General features: G+C 44.6%; 1 protein-coding gene across 1 annotated transcript in view; it reads left to right on the top strand.

Moving 5' to 3' along the window:
- Positions 1–14,895, top strand: part of PLXNA4 (plexin A4) — a 525,349-nt gene that overhangs the window by 9,696 nt on the left and 500,758 nt on the right. The window lies entirely within an intron of this gene.

The following is a 14,895-nucleotide window of genomic DNA, read 5'->3' as shown; positions in this document are numbered from 1 at the left end:
TGCTGGACACGTGGGTGTAATTCCTGAGGACCTTAGGAATATCTGGAGACTTGAAAAGATAAGATGTCCTGTGATTAAGCAGGCTGGGGCTCAGAGTCATTGCTCTTTGTACGTTGAATGTCAGTGAGCATTTGTCCCCACGGGCTAAGACATTCTGGCTAGACACACACCAGAGCATGTCTTGCTCCCTCTAAGCTCAAGATGCTTCCTTACCATTAATATATATATATATTTTTATTTCATGTGATCAGGGTAAAAAGGGTAAAAGAGAGTGAAGATGTGATAGACCAGAAACCATGGGTACAAATGGTCGGCATTTTTTTTTCTTTTTTCTGTTTTTTGAGACAGAGTCTTGCTCTGTCACCCAGGCTGGAGTGCAGTGGTGCAATCTCAGCTCACTGCAATCTCTGCCACCCGGGTTCAAGTGATTCTCCTGCCTTAGCCTCCAGAGTAGCTGGGATTACAGGCACACACCATCACGCCCAGTTAATTTTTGTATTTTTAGTAGACACGGGGTTTCACCATGTTGGCCAGGCTGGTCTCGAACTCCTGACCTCAAGTGATCTGCCTGCCTCAGCCTCCCAAAGTGCTGGGATTACAGGCGTGAGCCACCATGCCCGGCCCTGGCATTTTCTTGTATAGGAGTTTTACTGAGATTGTCTCACTTAGTCTTCCAACCATCCTAGGCCTAAACCCGCTATGATGTGTGTTGATCTGCTCATGACCTCATGGGGTAAGCAGGGATGGGCACAGGGCTGTGCCTGGCATGAGAGCTGCCCGTGATAGAGGGACAGATATGGGGAAACCAAACCACAGTCTCTCTTGCACACACAGCTGTGTAGGGAGGAGGCTGTGCGCTAGGAGTGGAGGCTCCGTTGTGGCAGCACAGACCCTAGGGGTGGATGAGAGCCCAGGCTTCAGCCTGGGCCCTGGTCAAAAGCTGTCAGGAAGCACTGCTGTGGAAGACAGTGGAGCCTAGCTGACTGTGGGGCTGTGGGCAAACTCTAGGACTGACAGAGGCCAGGAAACTCCTGCTTAGTATCCATTTTTGGATTTAGGAGTTGGAACCAAGGAAGAAAACTTTATAGTGGGGAGAAAGAAACTGAGCCAACGTACAAGCTTCCTGTCTCAGGATTAGTTCAGGACCTGGGCAGGGAGTGGAGGAGGGAAGTCTCTGTAGTCAGCCCATAGGAGATGGGGAGGCAAAGGCATGGGAGATGAGGCAAAGCCTCCCACCTGAGGTTTTGGGATGTCCTGTCCTCATTTTCAGTTATTTGCTTGTTGATGGATTTTCTGCTGGAGTAACTACATCACAAGTGGGGAAACTGAGGCATAGGACAGGCCAATGCTAAGGCTGCCAAGGGTTTCTCAGACTTGGAAGACAAGCATGGCTTCTTTCAGTCTTCCAGAATTTTCTTAGGCAGGAGCTGGGATGAGGGGCAGCTGAAAGCAAGTCTGGGGGCATCTTTGCTAATATTTTGCTCCCAGTTAAAGAGCACTTCCAGTGACTGAGAACGTCGTGTGGCCTTCCACCTGTGCAGGGTGTGGAAAATTGCATTCTTCTGTGCTCAAGGCAACCAAGGAGAGCCTGGTATGTGCAGGACCCTGCTCTGGTCTCTTTGTCAAGTCCTCTGTGACAGCTGCAGATTCAGAGACCACACTTCAATTACGGACACAGCAGGTGAAGGGGTGCTTGGACAGGGCCATCACGTTGAGATCAAGAAGGTAATTCATCCTTTTCACAGCCACGGAAAGGGGGAAGGATTGTGCATACAAATTGTGGTCCTGGTCTGAGAGCGGAATGGGGGATGAGGAATAGGGGAGGGGATAGACAGAAAAAGAGAAGGGTGAAGGAGCTGAGAGCCAAGAGAATGATCAAAAGGCTCTTTGGGAATGGACTTTTAGAGCCATCTATCTCTGCATTCCCTCTCTCTCATCCTTGTCATTCCAAGCATTTCTACAAAGCACTGTTTCAGCGTCAAACAATATCAAGAAGACTTGAGGCAATAGCTTCCTGGGAGGGAGGACGTGCATATTGGGGGAGCTGGATGGAGCAGAATTCTTCCCACCTCCCCACCTCCTGCATCCTTTGCATGCAGCTAGCTGTGGTCTCTGCAACCTCATTCAAATAGCGAAGGCGAGGGTTGGCTTGGGTTTGCACAAGGGAGACCAGAATGATTCAGTGCCTGAGGCCAGTAGCATTTCAGGAAGAGAATGAAGCTCAGAGAACTGCTAGGCTGGGAAGTCCTTTCTCTGCTCAAACAAGGCCACCTTATTGGGCTGCAGTGGGGGAAGCATGTGGGGTGGCATCATATGAAATCTGACCTTCCAAGGCTTTACGTGAATCTGGAAGGGCAACAGCAGAGCAGGGTTTTGGCAGGTGACTGGCTGCTACTCCCTGGGCCTTGTATGGCTGTGCTTTGAAACCCACTTGCCTCAGGGCATTTGGGCATTTTCATAGCAACCATGGGATGGAGCCGAGAGTGTGGGATAATAACCAATCACTCCTGGGGGGGCTCTTCCTTGATGTGGTCTCTGAAGCTCACAGATTCTTAGAAAACCATACCCCAGAAGCCCCACCCATGAAACATCAGACTACAGGGGATCTCCCAACCCATGTGGCTAGAAGTCCAGGCTGCTGGTGCCTCAGCTTCCCTCCTTGACTTGGGGTAGCCCCTTCTCTCCTCTGCCCTCTGCCTGGTTTCTTGTGGTCCCCAATTCCTAGGCCCCTGCACTCCCAGAAGCCTCTTGGCTGAGGAGCTCTTCTGGCTTTTGGCTATGAAATCTTCGGTTTGCTTGGAGTTCTTGCGCAGAGCTGAGCCAACCTGGGTATTGGATGGGAGTCTTTGAGCTGAATGTTTCTTGCACTCATTTTCCATTGTTATTGCAAGATAGTGGATGCTTTTCCTCACACCTCCCTATGCACATTGGAGCCTTTTGGAGGGGATGCCCACTCCTGAAGCTCTCTACCCTCTGAGTTCTGTTGAGAGGGCTTCTCCTAACAGATCCCTGGAACCGCCTCCTCCATCCCCCAGCCTCCTGGAAGAGTTGCATCCTATCTTTGCTGCCTGCAGATAAATACATGCCATTCATTTACCTATTTCAAGTTCAATAACCCGGCCCTTGGAAAACTCCTGTGTTGTTAAGTATTAAACGTGGAACTTCCTGATGCTGTTGCTGTTGTGTGATTTTACATCTTCCGGAGTTAGTTGGAAAATTCCTGTGTTGTTAAGTATTAAACGTGGAACTTCCTGATGCTGTTGCTGTTGTGTGATTTTGCATCTTCCGTGGTTCGTTGGGGGTTTGAGGCCAGCCTGACAGAGGCATGGGGCAAGGTGCAGGGCAGTGGGGTCAGAAAGAGCCCGTCCTGGGGAGCTGAGGAATTGTCACGGCATTTCTTCCTCTTCAGTCCTCCAGGAAACCTCTTAGCAATGTCAGCTCACATTGTTTTTTCCTTCTAATTGCTGGGAACATCGTGTGTTCTATCTCTTGGTTATTTTGAATCTAGCACTGTATTTTGTCTTAGAATGTTTCATGCCTGTGGGTGTATCATCCTTCCAGCCAATTTACAAGCTCCTGGGGACAGGGGCCATATCCCTAAATCCAAGTATACAGTTCAAAAAATCTATTCAAGTTCTTACTCTGTGCCAGGTGCTGTGCTGGCATTGAGAGTGCAAAACTAAGTACGCTATGACCTTTGACCCCAAGGAGGAAGCAGTGGACACATGACTTCAGCAGAGCACAGTGACTGTATTAGGGTTCTCTAGAGCGATAGAACTAATAGGATACGTATATATATATATATATATATATATATATATAAAGGGGAGTTTATTAAGTATTAACTCACACCATCACAAGGTCCCACAATAGGCTGTCTGCAAGCTGAGGAGCAAGGAGAGCCAGTCCAAGTCCCAAAACTGAAGAGCTTGGAGTCCAGTGTTTGAAGCCAGGAAGCATCCAGCACAGGAGAAAGATGTAGGCTGGGAGGCTAGGCCAGTCTCGTCTTTTCTCGTTTTTCTGCCTTCTTTATATTCTAACCACACTGGCAGCTGATTAGATGGTGCACACCCAGATTAAGGGTGGGCCTGCCTTTCCTGGCCCACTGACTCAAATGTTAATCTCCTTTGGCAACACCCTCACAGAGACACCCAGAATCAATATTTTGCATCCTTCAAAGTTGAGACTTGGTATTAACCATCACAGAGGCCATCATGACAAGGCATGCAGGCACATCCACGTGTCCCAGACTACGTGAGAGGTGGTGGCCAGAAGGGGATCTCAGATGGGCTCCTTGAGAAGCTGAGACCTGAGTGAGGCCTGCAAGGGTGAATAGAATTAGGTGGAAAAGGGAGAGGGCAATATTCAGAGAGAACAGCATGTGCAAAGGCCCAGGGGCGCTTGTTCAGTGATCTAGAGGAAGTTCTATGTTTCTGGAGTATTGAATTTAAGGCAAAGAGTGGGATAGGATGTTGTGGATAAGTATGGCTTTCTGTATGTGTGTGTGTAGTGTGTGTGTGTGTGTGTGTGCTGGGGCAGTGTTCCTGTGTGTATGTGTGTTGTGTCAGACCCCTACTCACTCCAGTAGGGATGGAACCATGTCAGAGAGGCCAAAGAAGAGACCTGGAGCCAGTGAATGAGACATAGGGTTTATTGAAGCCTTACATATGGGCAGACTAGTGGCAGTGGGCTGGACAGGAGAACTGCTACTGTTTGTAAAAAGCATGCAGTTTACATAGCATTTTCACTTAGTATCCTCTACCCGGGAACCTCAACCTAGCAACCTCCATTTAACCCTAAATAAAGGGCCTTGATGCCCTGTGTGCCCTGCATTCCAAGGAATGGGCCAAGGGTTTAGATGACCCTCATAGATAAGGAATGAGGCTCCAGGCTGGCCACTCCTGGATTTCTTAGCTTGGAACTCCAAAACCAGCACTCTTCTTAGACCACAGGGCCAGTCTCAGGGTATGTTTAAGTTATTGCTGTCAGGTGCATCTGCCATACACTGTGTGTTTGTGTGTGTGTGGTGCAGTGTGGTGCATGTGCGTGTGTGTGTGTGTGATGTGCTGGAGTTGCTGTGTGTGCTGAGTGGGAGAGCTCAACTTCATTCCTTGGGTGACAAGGGAGAAGATACTGATGGGAGGAGGCGAATCACAGGTTTGCATTTCTGAAAATTTAGTCTGGAGAAAGACGGACAGGCTATGGGGACATGGAGCAAAGCTACTTCAGTGGTCCAACAAAGAGATGATGAGGGTCAGAGTCAGGGACGCAGCTGGGGGAAAAACGTGAAAAATACTTTGGAGATAAAATGGTCAGGACCAGATCCTTGCCTTTAACTATTCAGTGCCTGAATATATCCTTGATGACACAGTAGACTGAGAAAGGAACAATCTGCACAAGAATGAGAACCTTGGTGGGGGGTGGTGGCTTACGCCTGTAATCCCAGCACTTTGGAAGGCCGAGGCAGGTGGATCACAAGGTCAGAAAATCAAGACCATCCTTGCCAATATGGTGAAACCCTGTCTCTACTAAAAATACAAAAATTAGCCTGGTGTGGTGGTGGGCACCTGTAATCCCAGCTACTCAGAAGGCTGAGGCAGGGGAATCGCTTGAACTTGGGAGGTGGAGATTGCATTGAGCCAAGATCGAACCACTGCACTCCAGTCTGGTGATAGAGTGAGACTCCGTCTTAAAAAAAAAAAAAAAAAAATGAGAACCTCAAGCCCCACTGTTTTCTCAATCACCTGGAGCAAATTGTGTTTGTCCTCCTCTGTCTCAGGCAATTTTAGACCTTTGCTGTCTGCAGCCCACTCAGAACACTGGCTTCATTGATTTAATTTTTCTCTCCCCATCTCTTCGCCCACCTCCCCCTACATACTGACTGCCCTTGACCCAGGAATATTTTGAGTTGAAGGGAGTGTGGAAAGCCTGGTTAGAATGGAGAATGCCTTGGATAGGAGCAGACACAGGTTTTCGCTCCTTGTGATGTTCCCAGGGTTGAAGCTGGGGGTCTGTCTCCCCACCTTCCACTCCATGTCAGCCTAGAGACTCAGCTCTGTGTCCTGAGAACACAGAGATTAGAAGAGCTAATCTCTGGCTCCAAATGCTGTAAAAGGATCACAGTAGGTCCCAGATAATTTCCACTGGTCTTCAGCAAAATGGGGAAAATGTTGAGGCTGTCCTATTTTTCATAAGTCTAAATTTATTCCCTTTAAGTTTCTGCTTTTATCCTGAGATTATCTTCTTCCCATCTTGCGGTGTTAACAAGTCATTTAAAAAATGAAATGATAGTGATAATGGGATTTATTTTTAATGTGCTTATTTGGCAAAATATAAACTTGGCAATTTTGTGATTATCTACCCTCCCCCAAATTATTTTGAAATTTTCTTGGCAGGTGAAATCTCAGAGCCTGGGAGCTGTAGAGATGGATGCTACATTTCTATCCCGGGAGGTAGATAATGAGTAAGAGCCTAACTCTGGAACCAGGTGCATCTAAGCTCACACTCAGCTCCAGCATTTGCTCACTGTGTGACTTCTGGGCTTCAGGTTCCTGATCCGTAAAGTGGGAATAATATAGTAGCTACTTTATAGGGTTGTGAGGATCAAATGAGTTAATGTGTATCCTCTATTATTATTACTTCTAAAGATTTCCATTACATATATCATTTTCTTGCCTACCATGAGCTCTAATTTCAGAAATTCTACCTAAGAAATTTAGAATGCTCTTCCTCCATTTTTTTTTTTTTTTTTTTTTTTGAGATGGAGTCTAGCTCTGTTGCTTAGGCTGGAGTGCAGTGGTACAATCTCAGCTCACTGCAACCTCCGCCTCCCGGGTTCAAGTAATTCTCCTGCCTCAGCCTCCTGAGTAGCTGGGATTCCAGGTGTGTGCCACCACGCCTGACTAATTTTTGTATTTTTAGTAGAGACGGGGGTTTCACCATGTTGGCCAGGCTGGCCTTGAACTCCTGACCTCAGGTGATCCACCCGCCTTGGCCTCCCAAAATGCTGGGATTACAGGCATGAGCCACTATGCCCGATCTTCCTCCACTAATTAATCCAATCCCACTCATATTTCTTCGGCAGTTAGAGTTTTGTTGAGAGGAATGAGTAGAAAAGAAAGGAATTGAAAGGAGAGTGCTTGAAGTTGGAACATCTGACTATGTCCCTTAGTGTAAGATCAGCCCTACTTCCAAGCATGTAGCTTCTAGCATTGGCTTGGACATGTAGCATAGATTTAATCATCCCAGGAATAATGAGGAGAGGTGGGTGAGGAGCAGATGAGACCATGGGGTTGGGGGATGGTCTATGGAGTTGAGTGTTAGGGTGAAGCTATTTCAGTGAAAGGCTCATTCAGGGACACAGCTACCCTGGAATCTCAGGGCAAAAGATCAGATAAGAGCATTTGGAAAAACTTCCAGCCTGGGGTACCATCTAGAGCAGACACTCACTAGTCAATGTGTTCATTCCTCCCTCTAGAGCTTGGTTTAGCTAAATGATCTACTGGAAATGCCTATCTCCCTACTCCCCATCCAAATAATACCCTTCCTACAAGATTATTCAGTTCAGTTGATTCATCAAACACTTGTTAAGTATATTATCTTCTAGAAGCCAGCTACTGGGCCCAGTTTTGAGGACTCAATAGGACTAAGGCACCTTAAGAATAAGGGCTGTGCCTCTTAAACTGTATGTGTCTCATGGATACACAAAGTAATGAGATAAATTGATCAGTTTTTCAAAGCATCAATTTGACTTGAAGATTGAAGAAAGAAAGTAAAGGGAAGCAATTTAAATGCCAAGTAATTTAAAATAATATTCTTATATTAAAACAAACAGATCCATTATGGAACAGGGGCAAAATCTGCATATATTTAAAAAATAAAATGTGAGATTTCAAAGAAATTTTATGCAAGTGGTTGAGTCTTTTGGACTCCATCCCAGACACTTACGAATACACATGTTAATTCTCTGCCACTATGGGTGTTCTGGTTTAAAAGTTTGAAAGTTCTTTCTGTGTGTCATGGGAAGAAGTTGAAGGGTTTTAGTTAGGGAGAGTCATAATAAAGGTTGCAGTTTAACAATGTCATTCTTGAGGAATACCAGGTAAACTTACAGATCAAACACTTAATTTATTTCTACTTCCTCCGAAAACTCCACTGACATGACCATAAAGAGTCAAATAAAGGCCAGGCGCAGTGGCTCACGCCTGTAATCCCAGCTATTTGGGAGGCCGAGGTGGGCGGATCACAAGGTCAGGAGATTGAGACCATCCTGGCTAACACAGTGAAACCCCATCTCTACTAAAAATACAAAAAATTAGCCGGGTGTGGTGGCAGACGCCTGTAGTCCCAGCTACTTGGGAGGCTGAGGCAGGAGAATGGCGTGAACCTGGGCGGTGGAACTTGCAGTGAGCCAAGATTGTGCCATTGCACTCCAGCCTGGGTGACAGAGTGAGACTCATTCTCAAAACAAAACAAAAAAACAAAAAAACCCAAAGTGGACAAACAATGTTTACAAAATTGAGGAAGCTGGAAAAGCAACGGGGCACATGATAAATGACTTAGCAGTGCAGAGAAAGTGAAAACTCTGCTGGAGAAAAACCAAGAAGCAAAGTGATTTTCAGAAAGAATCAGAAGTCAGAGGCAATAGAGTCTGAAGTTTTCTGTTATAGATTGTGTGCTATGGAAATTGAATTGTGTTTTCCCCAAACTCATATGTTGAAGCCCAATACCCAGTGTGACTGTATTTGTAGATAGGGCCTTTAGGAGACAAGTAAGGTTAAATGAGGTCATAAGGGCATGGTCCTAATCTGATAGGATTACTGGCCTTATAAGAAGAGACACCAGGCCGGGTGAGGTGGCTCATGCCTGTAATCCCAGCACTTTGGGAGGCCGAGGCAGGTGGATCACAAGGTCAGGAGATTGAGACCATCCTGGCTAACACAGTGGAACCCTGTCTCTACTAAAAATACAAAAAAATTAGCCAGGCGTGGTGGTGGGCACCTGTAGTCCCAGCTACTCGGGAGGCTGAGGCAGGAGAATGGCATGAACTCGGGAGGTGGAGCTTGCAGTGAGCGGAGATTGCGCCACTGCACTCCAGCCTGGGTGACAGAACGAGACTCTGTCTCAAAAAAAAAAGAGAAGAGACACTAGAGAACACTGTCTCTCCATGCATGCACAGAAGAAAGGCCATGTGAGGACATAGTGAGAAGGCGGCCATCTGCAAGCCAGGAAAAGAGCCCTTACTGAAAATCAAGTTGGCCAGAATGCTGATCTTAGTTTTCTAGCCTCCAGAACTGTGAGAAAATAAATTTCTGTTGTTTAAACCCAGTCCATGATATTTTGTTATGGCAGCCCAAGCTAAGACACTGGCTGGCAATAGGAGAAACAGTTAAAAGTTGTTATAAGATGCAGTTGGATTCATGGTTCCCAATCCTCAGTATGCATCAGTTTCATCTAGAAGAGTTAAAAAATATGCAGGTCAGGACCTCACTCCAGAAACTCAGAGGTAATGGTTCAGGAGAGGGTCTAGGCATCAGTTTTAAAAAATGTTTCCGAGGAGATTAATGTGCACTCAGCATTAGAATAATAGAATAGGACCTACCAGATGCCCTTTACAAGTCTACATACTCAGGTATCTATCTATGACTTTAGTGCAGGAATGAAGCTTTCCTCTCTGGAGAAGTCGTACAAGAGAGTCTCTAGACTCAGAGTCATCAGATAAAATTGATGGTGAGGTTGAGTTAAAGCCAATTTACTGAGGCCTCTTATTCCCCTTCTTCCATTCAGCTTCCTGGAATGCTGGTAGTTAGGTTTATCTGTCCAAGGCAGGAGTTCTAAGTATTCCTCTCTGAGTAAAACAATCCACCCAAGAGAAAAGATCTAAAGGTATTACCACTTGGGGTCTCCTTACAAAAGGGCCTGGGCATACCTGATCAATCAATAGTGAGATCAACTAGCAGAAAAGACAGTGACAGAGCTTTCAATCAGCATTTGAGTGCCTCACTCTTGAATATAAATAGACAGCCAAGGACATAAGACATCTGAAGAAATATTTTTAACATGAGACAGAATTTGAACTAAGCAAATCAGAAGGAACTCAGAAGAAATGAATGCAAGGCGTAGTGTAGAAGGAAAACAAAAAATATCCTCATGATGAAAATGCTTTGAGATGTAAGACAGAATACTACATTCATAAAACAATAACAGAAGGTTGTAAAACAAGGAGTTTCAGAGAACAAGATCACAGAAATTAAAAATAAGAGAACAGAAATAACTCTTAACCAGAAAGTTACAAGACAGAGTTGAGGAAAGTCTAGAAATTAGATCAAATTAACCTAGAGACTGAAATGGAAGAGAAAAATAAAGAAAATCCAGGAGATCCAAAAAATAAAAGATGTTTAGAAAAAGAGAAGAGAGGAAATGAGGGAGAGAGAGAGAGGACATTTTTAGAAACAAACCCACAAACAAAAAGACATGTTCAAAGAATATAAGTTTCCAGACTAAAATGATCTGTTGAATGTTCAGCATAATCAAGGAGAAAAAAACACTCTAACAGAAAATATGAATTTTCAAAATGCCATATAAAGAGCCTAAAAGCTGAGAGAAAAAGAGAGAGAGAGAGAAACAGAGAGAGAGAGAGAGCGAGAGAGAGACAGAGCAAGAGAGAAATACAAAGGAGCAGGAGTCAACAGAGCATGGGTCTTCTCATCAACAACATTAAAAGTTGGAAGACCATGGAGCCATGTCTTCAGAATTCTGACAGAAAATGCTTTTGAACCTAGAATTTTATATCCAACCAAAGTACCTCAAATATGAGGATAGAATAAATTTTTAGGAAGGCAGATCTCAAAGTATTACCACCTGTATACTCTTTACAGTAAGCTGTTAGAAAATGTGTTCCACAAGGATGAGGACTATTGAGCAGGATTAGAAGGCTTCTGTCTATATTGGAAAAAGAGGAGAGAGAGCCTCAGGAGGAATGCCTCCAAGAAGGAAAATATTAAATGCATTGAAGACCGGGAATGTTTAAACATATTGAGAAGAAATATTCTGGTGGAGGGTTTGGAGAGATATTAGTGAGAGTATCTGAGTCCATTCTTGTTGCTATAACAAAATACTTTAGACTGGGTTATTTATAAAGAACAGACATTTATGCAACCACAGTCTGGAGGCTGGGAAGTCCAGGATCAAGGTGCTAGTGGATTCATTGTTTGATGATGGCTGTTCTCTGCTTCAAAGATGGTGCCTTTTTGCTGAGTCCTCATATGGTGGAAGAAGCAAATACTGTGCCTTCACATGGTGGAAGGGATGAAGGGCAAAAGGGCCTAGTGAGTTCACTTGAACACTTTTATAAAAGCACTAATCCCATATATAAGTGTGGAGCCCTCGTGACCTAATCACTTTCTCTTAATACTGTCACATTGAGTCTTAATTCCAGCATAAGAATTTGTGTGTGTGGGACATATACATTCAAATGATAGAAATGAAGGCTACATAAAAACTAAGCAAATAAGACAACCTTGGAAAACAAACAAAACTGTACAGGAAAAGAAATGTAATCATAGTATACACCATGGATCAGCTGTGAATAATGTTATATAGAATCAAAACAACAAAAGCCATGAAAATTGTGATATAAGAATCTCAGGAGAATGAAGACAGGAAAAGTGTGTGTGTGTAAAAGATCTAAACCTTCATCTTTCATAATAGGAAGTTGACAGGTATCTAAAACTGAAAAACATCAACAAATAGAAGCATAAGCATGTTATTTAGACATGTAAAAATAAATGGCAGAAGGTGATGGGATGGGTGTTGGGAAGGAATACCATTCTTCTTTATGAGCCATGAGTTATATATGGTTTCATAAACTGTAGTACTTCAATAAAACTAAAAGTTAAACTACAGAGATTTTAAATATAACTTTTGTAGATATTCAGAGGTGGGATTGATGAAGGGTTGAGCCAAGGTAGAGCAGGTAGTCAGGAGCCATTGAAATTTTCTTGTCATCATAGATTGGATTCCAGCATGCAGGCCCTTTATTAAGGAGGGTCCTTGGGATCAACATCTGTGAAAGGAAACGGACAGAGTACCATGTTGTTCTGTGATGCAGGCTCACTCACATTCTCAGATGACCCCATAGGGTGCTCCAGAGCTATATCCTGGGTTGGGCTGAGATGCATGCACCTTGAGTGAGACAGTTCTCTGCAGCTGAAGCAATCCCATTAGGGATTGACAGATGTGTTAGGTCATTCTTGCATTGATATAAGGAAATACCTGGAACTGGGTAATTTATTAAAAAAAAGAGGTTTAATTGGCTCATGGTTCTGCAGTCTTCTAGGGAGGGCTCAGGGAGCTTTTACACATGGTGGAAAGCAAAGTGGAAGCAGGCACATTACATGGCCGGAGCAGGAGCAAGAGAGATGTGGGGAGATGCTGCACACTTTTAAATGACCAGCTCTCACGAGGGCTCACTCATGATCACAAGGACAGCACCAAAGGGATGGTGCTAAACCACTCATGAAAAATCCATCTTCATGATCCAATCACCTCCCACCAGGCCCAACCTCCAATACTGGGGATTACAATTCAACATGATATTTGGGCAGCGACATATATCCAAACTATAGCAATAGCTGAAGGCTGAGCACCGACAGCACTCTCAAAGCTGAGGCAAAAGTCCTTCAGGCTAGATTGAGAGGGAATCTGGGCTGTGCATGACAGTGTCCACTACAGTAGGTAAGAAAAGATGATGTGATGAGGGCTTGACCTAGTTTGTGGCAGTGGGAATGTGGAGGAGGGAATAGATTTCAGAGGTACTTAGAAGGTAAAGTCTACAAGGCCTACTTGATTGGTGGTGGTGAGTGAAGGGAAGGAGAGTGAATTGGGATCATCTGGTATACCACCAGTTTTCTTGCTTGTAAGGCTGGGTTCTGTATAAGGGTAAGGGTGATGAATTCAGTTTGGGATAAACTGAATAGAGAGGCCTGTGAGGGGAGAAGACCTGCTTAAAGCTTCTATTTCAGACTACTCAGATCTTTTCTCTTAATTACTGATGACTGTTTTCTGAATTCCACAATCAAACCCTGAAATATATTTCCTACAAGAATGTAAACTCCGTGAGAGCAGGATTTTTGTCTGTCGTGGTCTTTGCTGTATCCCAGTCCCTAGGGGAGACACTGGTATGAAGTATGCAGCAATATGTGGATATTTGTTGTTGATCTACCATTCCAACATACTTCTTTGTGTCTGACTTCTTCAATGACAGTGCAAGTCTTTTGCAGTGATAGTATGAAAATTATTTTACTCCTTTACATCCTATAGCACTCAGCACAGTGCTGGTACACATGTGCCAAATGCATGAGGATGAACGGATTGATGAAAGCCAGGGGATCTCAGGCCTGTAACTGCCTAGGACTCCACACACTCCACCCTGCCTCTCAGACCTGCTTTCTGTGATGGTCTCTCTGGTGCTTGATGTGACAGAGGATCAATGCTCTACAGGATCTATGTGAATGGTGTGAAAAGATAGTACCTAGAGAGAGGGGAATATCCCCTTGAAATATTGCAGAATTAACCAGTTTTATTGGAGATGAACTCACATAATGTGTATTAGCAGGGTAGGGAGGTAGTTGTTGCATTTTAAGGACACAAATGTCAGAAGAGCAGAGTTAGGGATCCCTTGACCTTCATAATTCTGCTCCTTCAGGATCCAGCACTGTGCTGGGCTGGAGGGGCTTTCATCATGTGGTTGCATGACTCTCAACCCAGAGAGGCTTGATTTGGCACTCTCCACCTCTCTTGGGCTGAAGTCATCGGTCTGTACCCCGTCGGAGGGTTTAGGTTCTTTCAAATTGCCTAGCCCTCACTTTTGAGATAGAAAAAGTAAGTAGAGGACAAGTTTGAAGAACAAAGAAGAAAAAATCGTGAAGGCCAAATAAATAGCTTTATTTTGGGGGGCTCAGAGTCCTGTGGGTGAAAATGCATTCACAGCATTGGCCATTTGTGGGGAAGAGTTATTTTATCTACTTTATACAAGGAGAATAAATTGGGCAATCTAGAAGCAGAAGAAAGTCTGAGGACTTGGGTGGTTTGTTCTCTTTTACTCAGGACCCTTTGTACACTTGCTTCCTGTTCAGGCTTGAGGACTGACTTAGAGGTAGGTGAGCTTTTGAGATTTATGGTGAAATTGATTCTAAAGGTCGTGGCAGGTGGTGGGGAGCCTAAATAGGGCAGCCTTTGCAAAATTTGCTGGTGGGGCTGGTGTTTAACCCTAAGCTTACTGAACACTAAATCAGCAATCTGTGAGTTATATGGACCAAGTTCATGACTTATACCAGGACCCAGGAACTGTAGTTTTCAAGCTCATGCTTCCCTTTCCAAGATTGAGTAGCCCCCAGATGTGACTTTTCATATGAAGTAGGACTTGGGCTTTGAATTGGTTTCTAGGTCATGAGGATGAGTTTGTGCTGATCTGCTCATTCTCTCTATTCTTCCCACACACACACCCCCATGTGACCTCTGGCATAAACATTTCCACTATTTGGCATGGGCTCTGTGATCTATGCTCATGAGAAAGGATCACCTTTCTCAGTGTGAAGAGACAGAACCTGTAGCCATGGGAGCTAACCAACCAGGCATGTGCTTATGGCCAGGGACTGGAGTCTGTATGTGCTTTGCATATTGCTATGATCTTAATGAATAGTATGCTACCATCACCACGGGTACTACCATTATGATGGCAGCATCAGAGTCTCAGCAGTGAGGGTAGGATAAAGAGCCCGGGTACTTGGAGCCTGAAGATGTGGTTCCAGTCTTGCAACTGCCTTGGGACTAGCTTTGTGGCACTGAGCATGTCACCAAATCTCTCTGACATTCTGTTTCTATTAAATGACAATC

This window comes from Homo sapiens, chromosome 7 (assembly GCF_000001405.40).
Source record: "Homo sapiens chromosome 7, GRCh38.p14 Primary Assembly".
In the NCBI taxonomy this organism is placed as follows: Eukaryota; Metazoa; Chordata; class Mammalia; order Primates; family Hominidae; genus Homo; species Homo sapiens.
The sequence above is the reverse complement of the archived record's forward strand: the minus strand, read 5'-3'. Positions and strand labels throughout refer to the sequence as shown.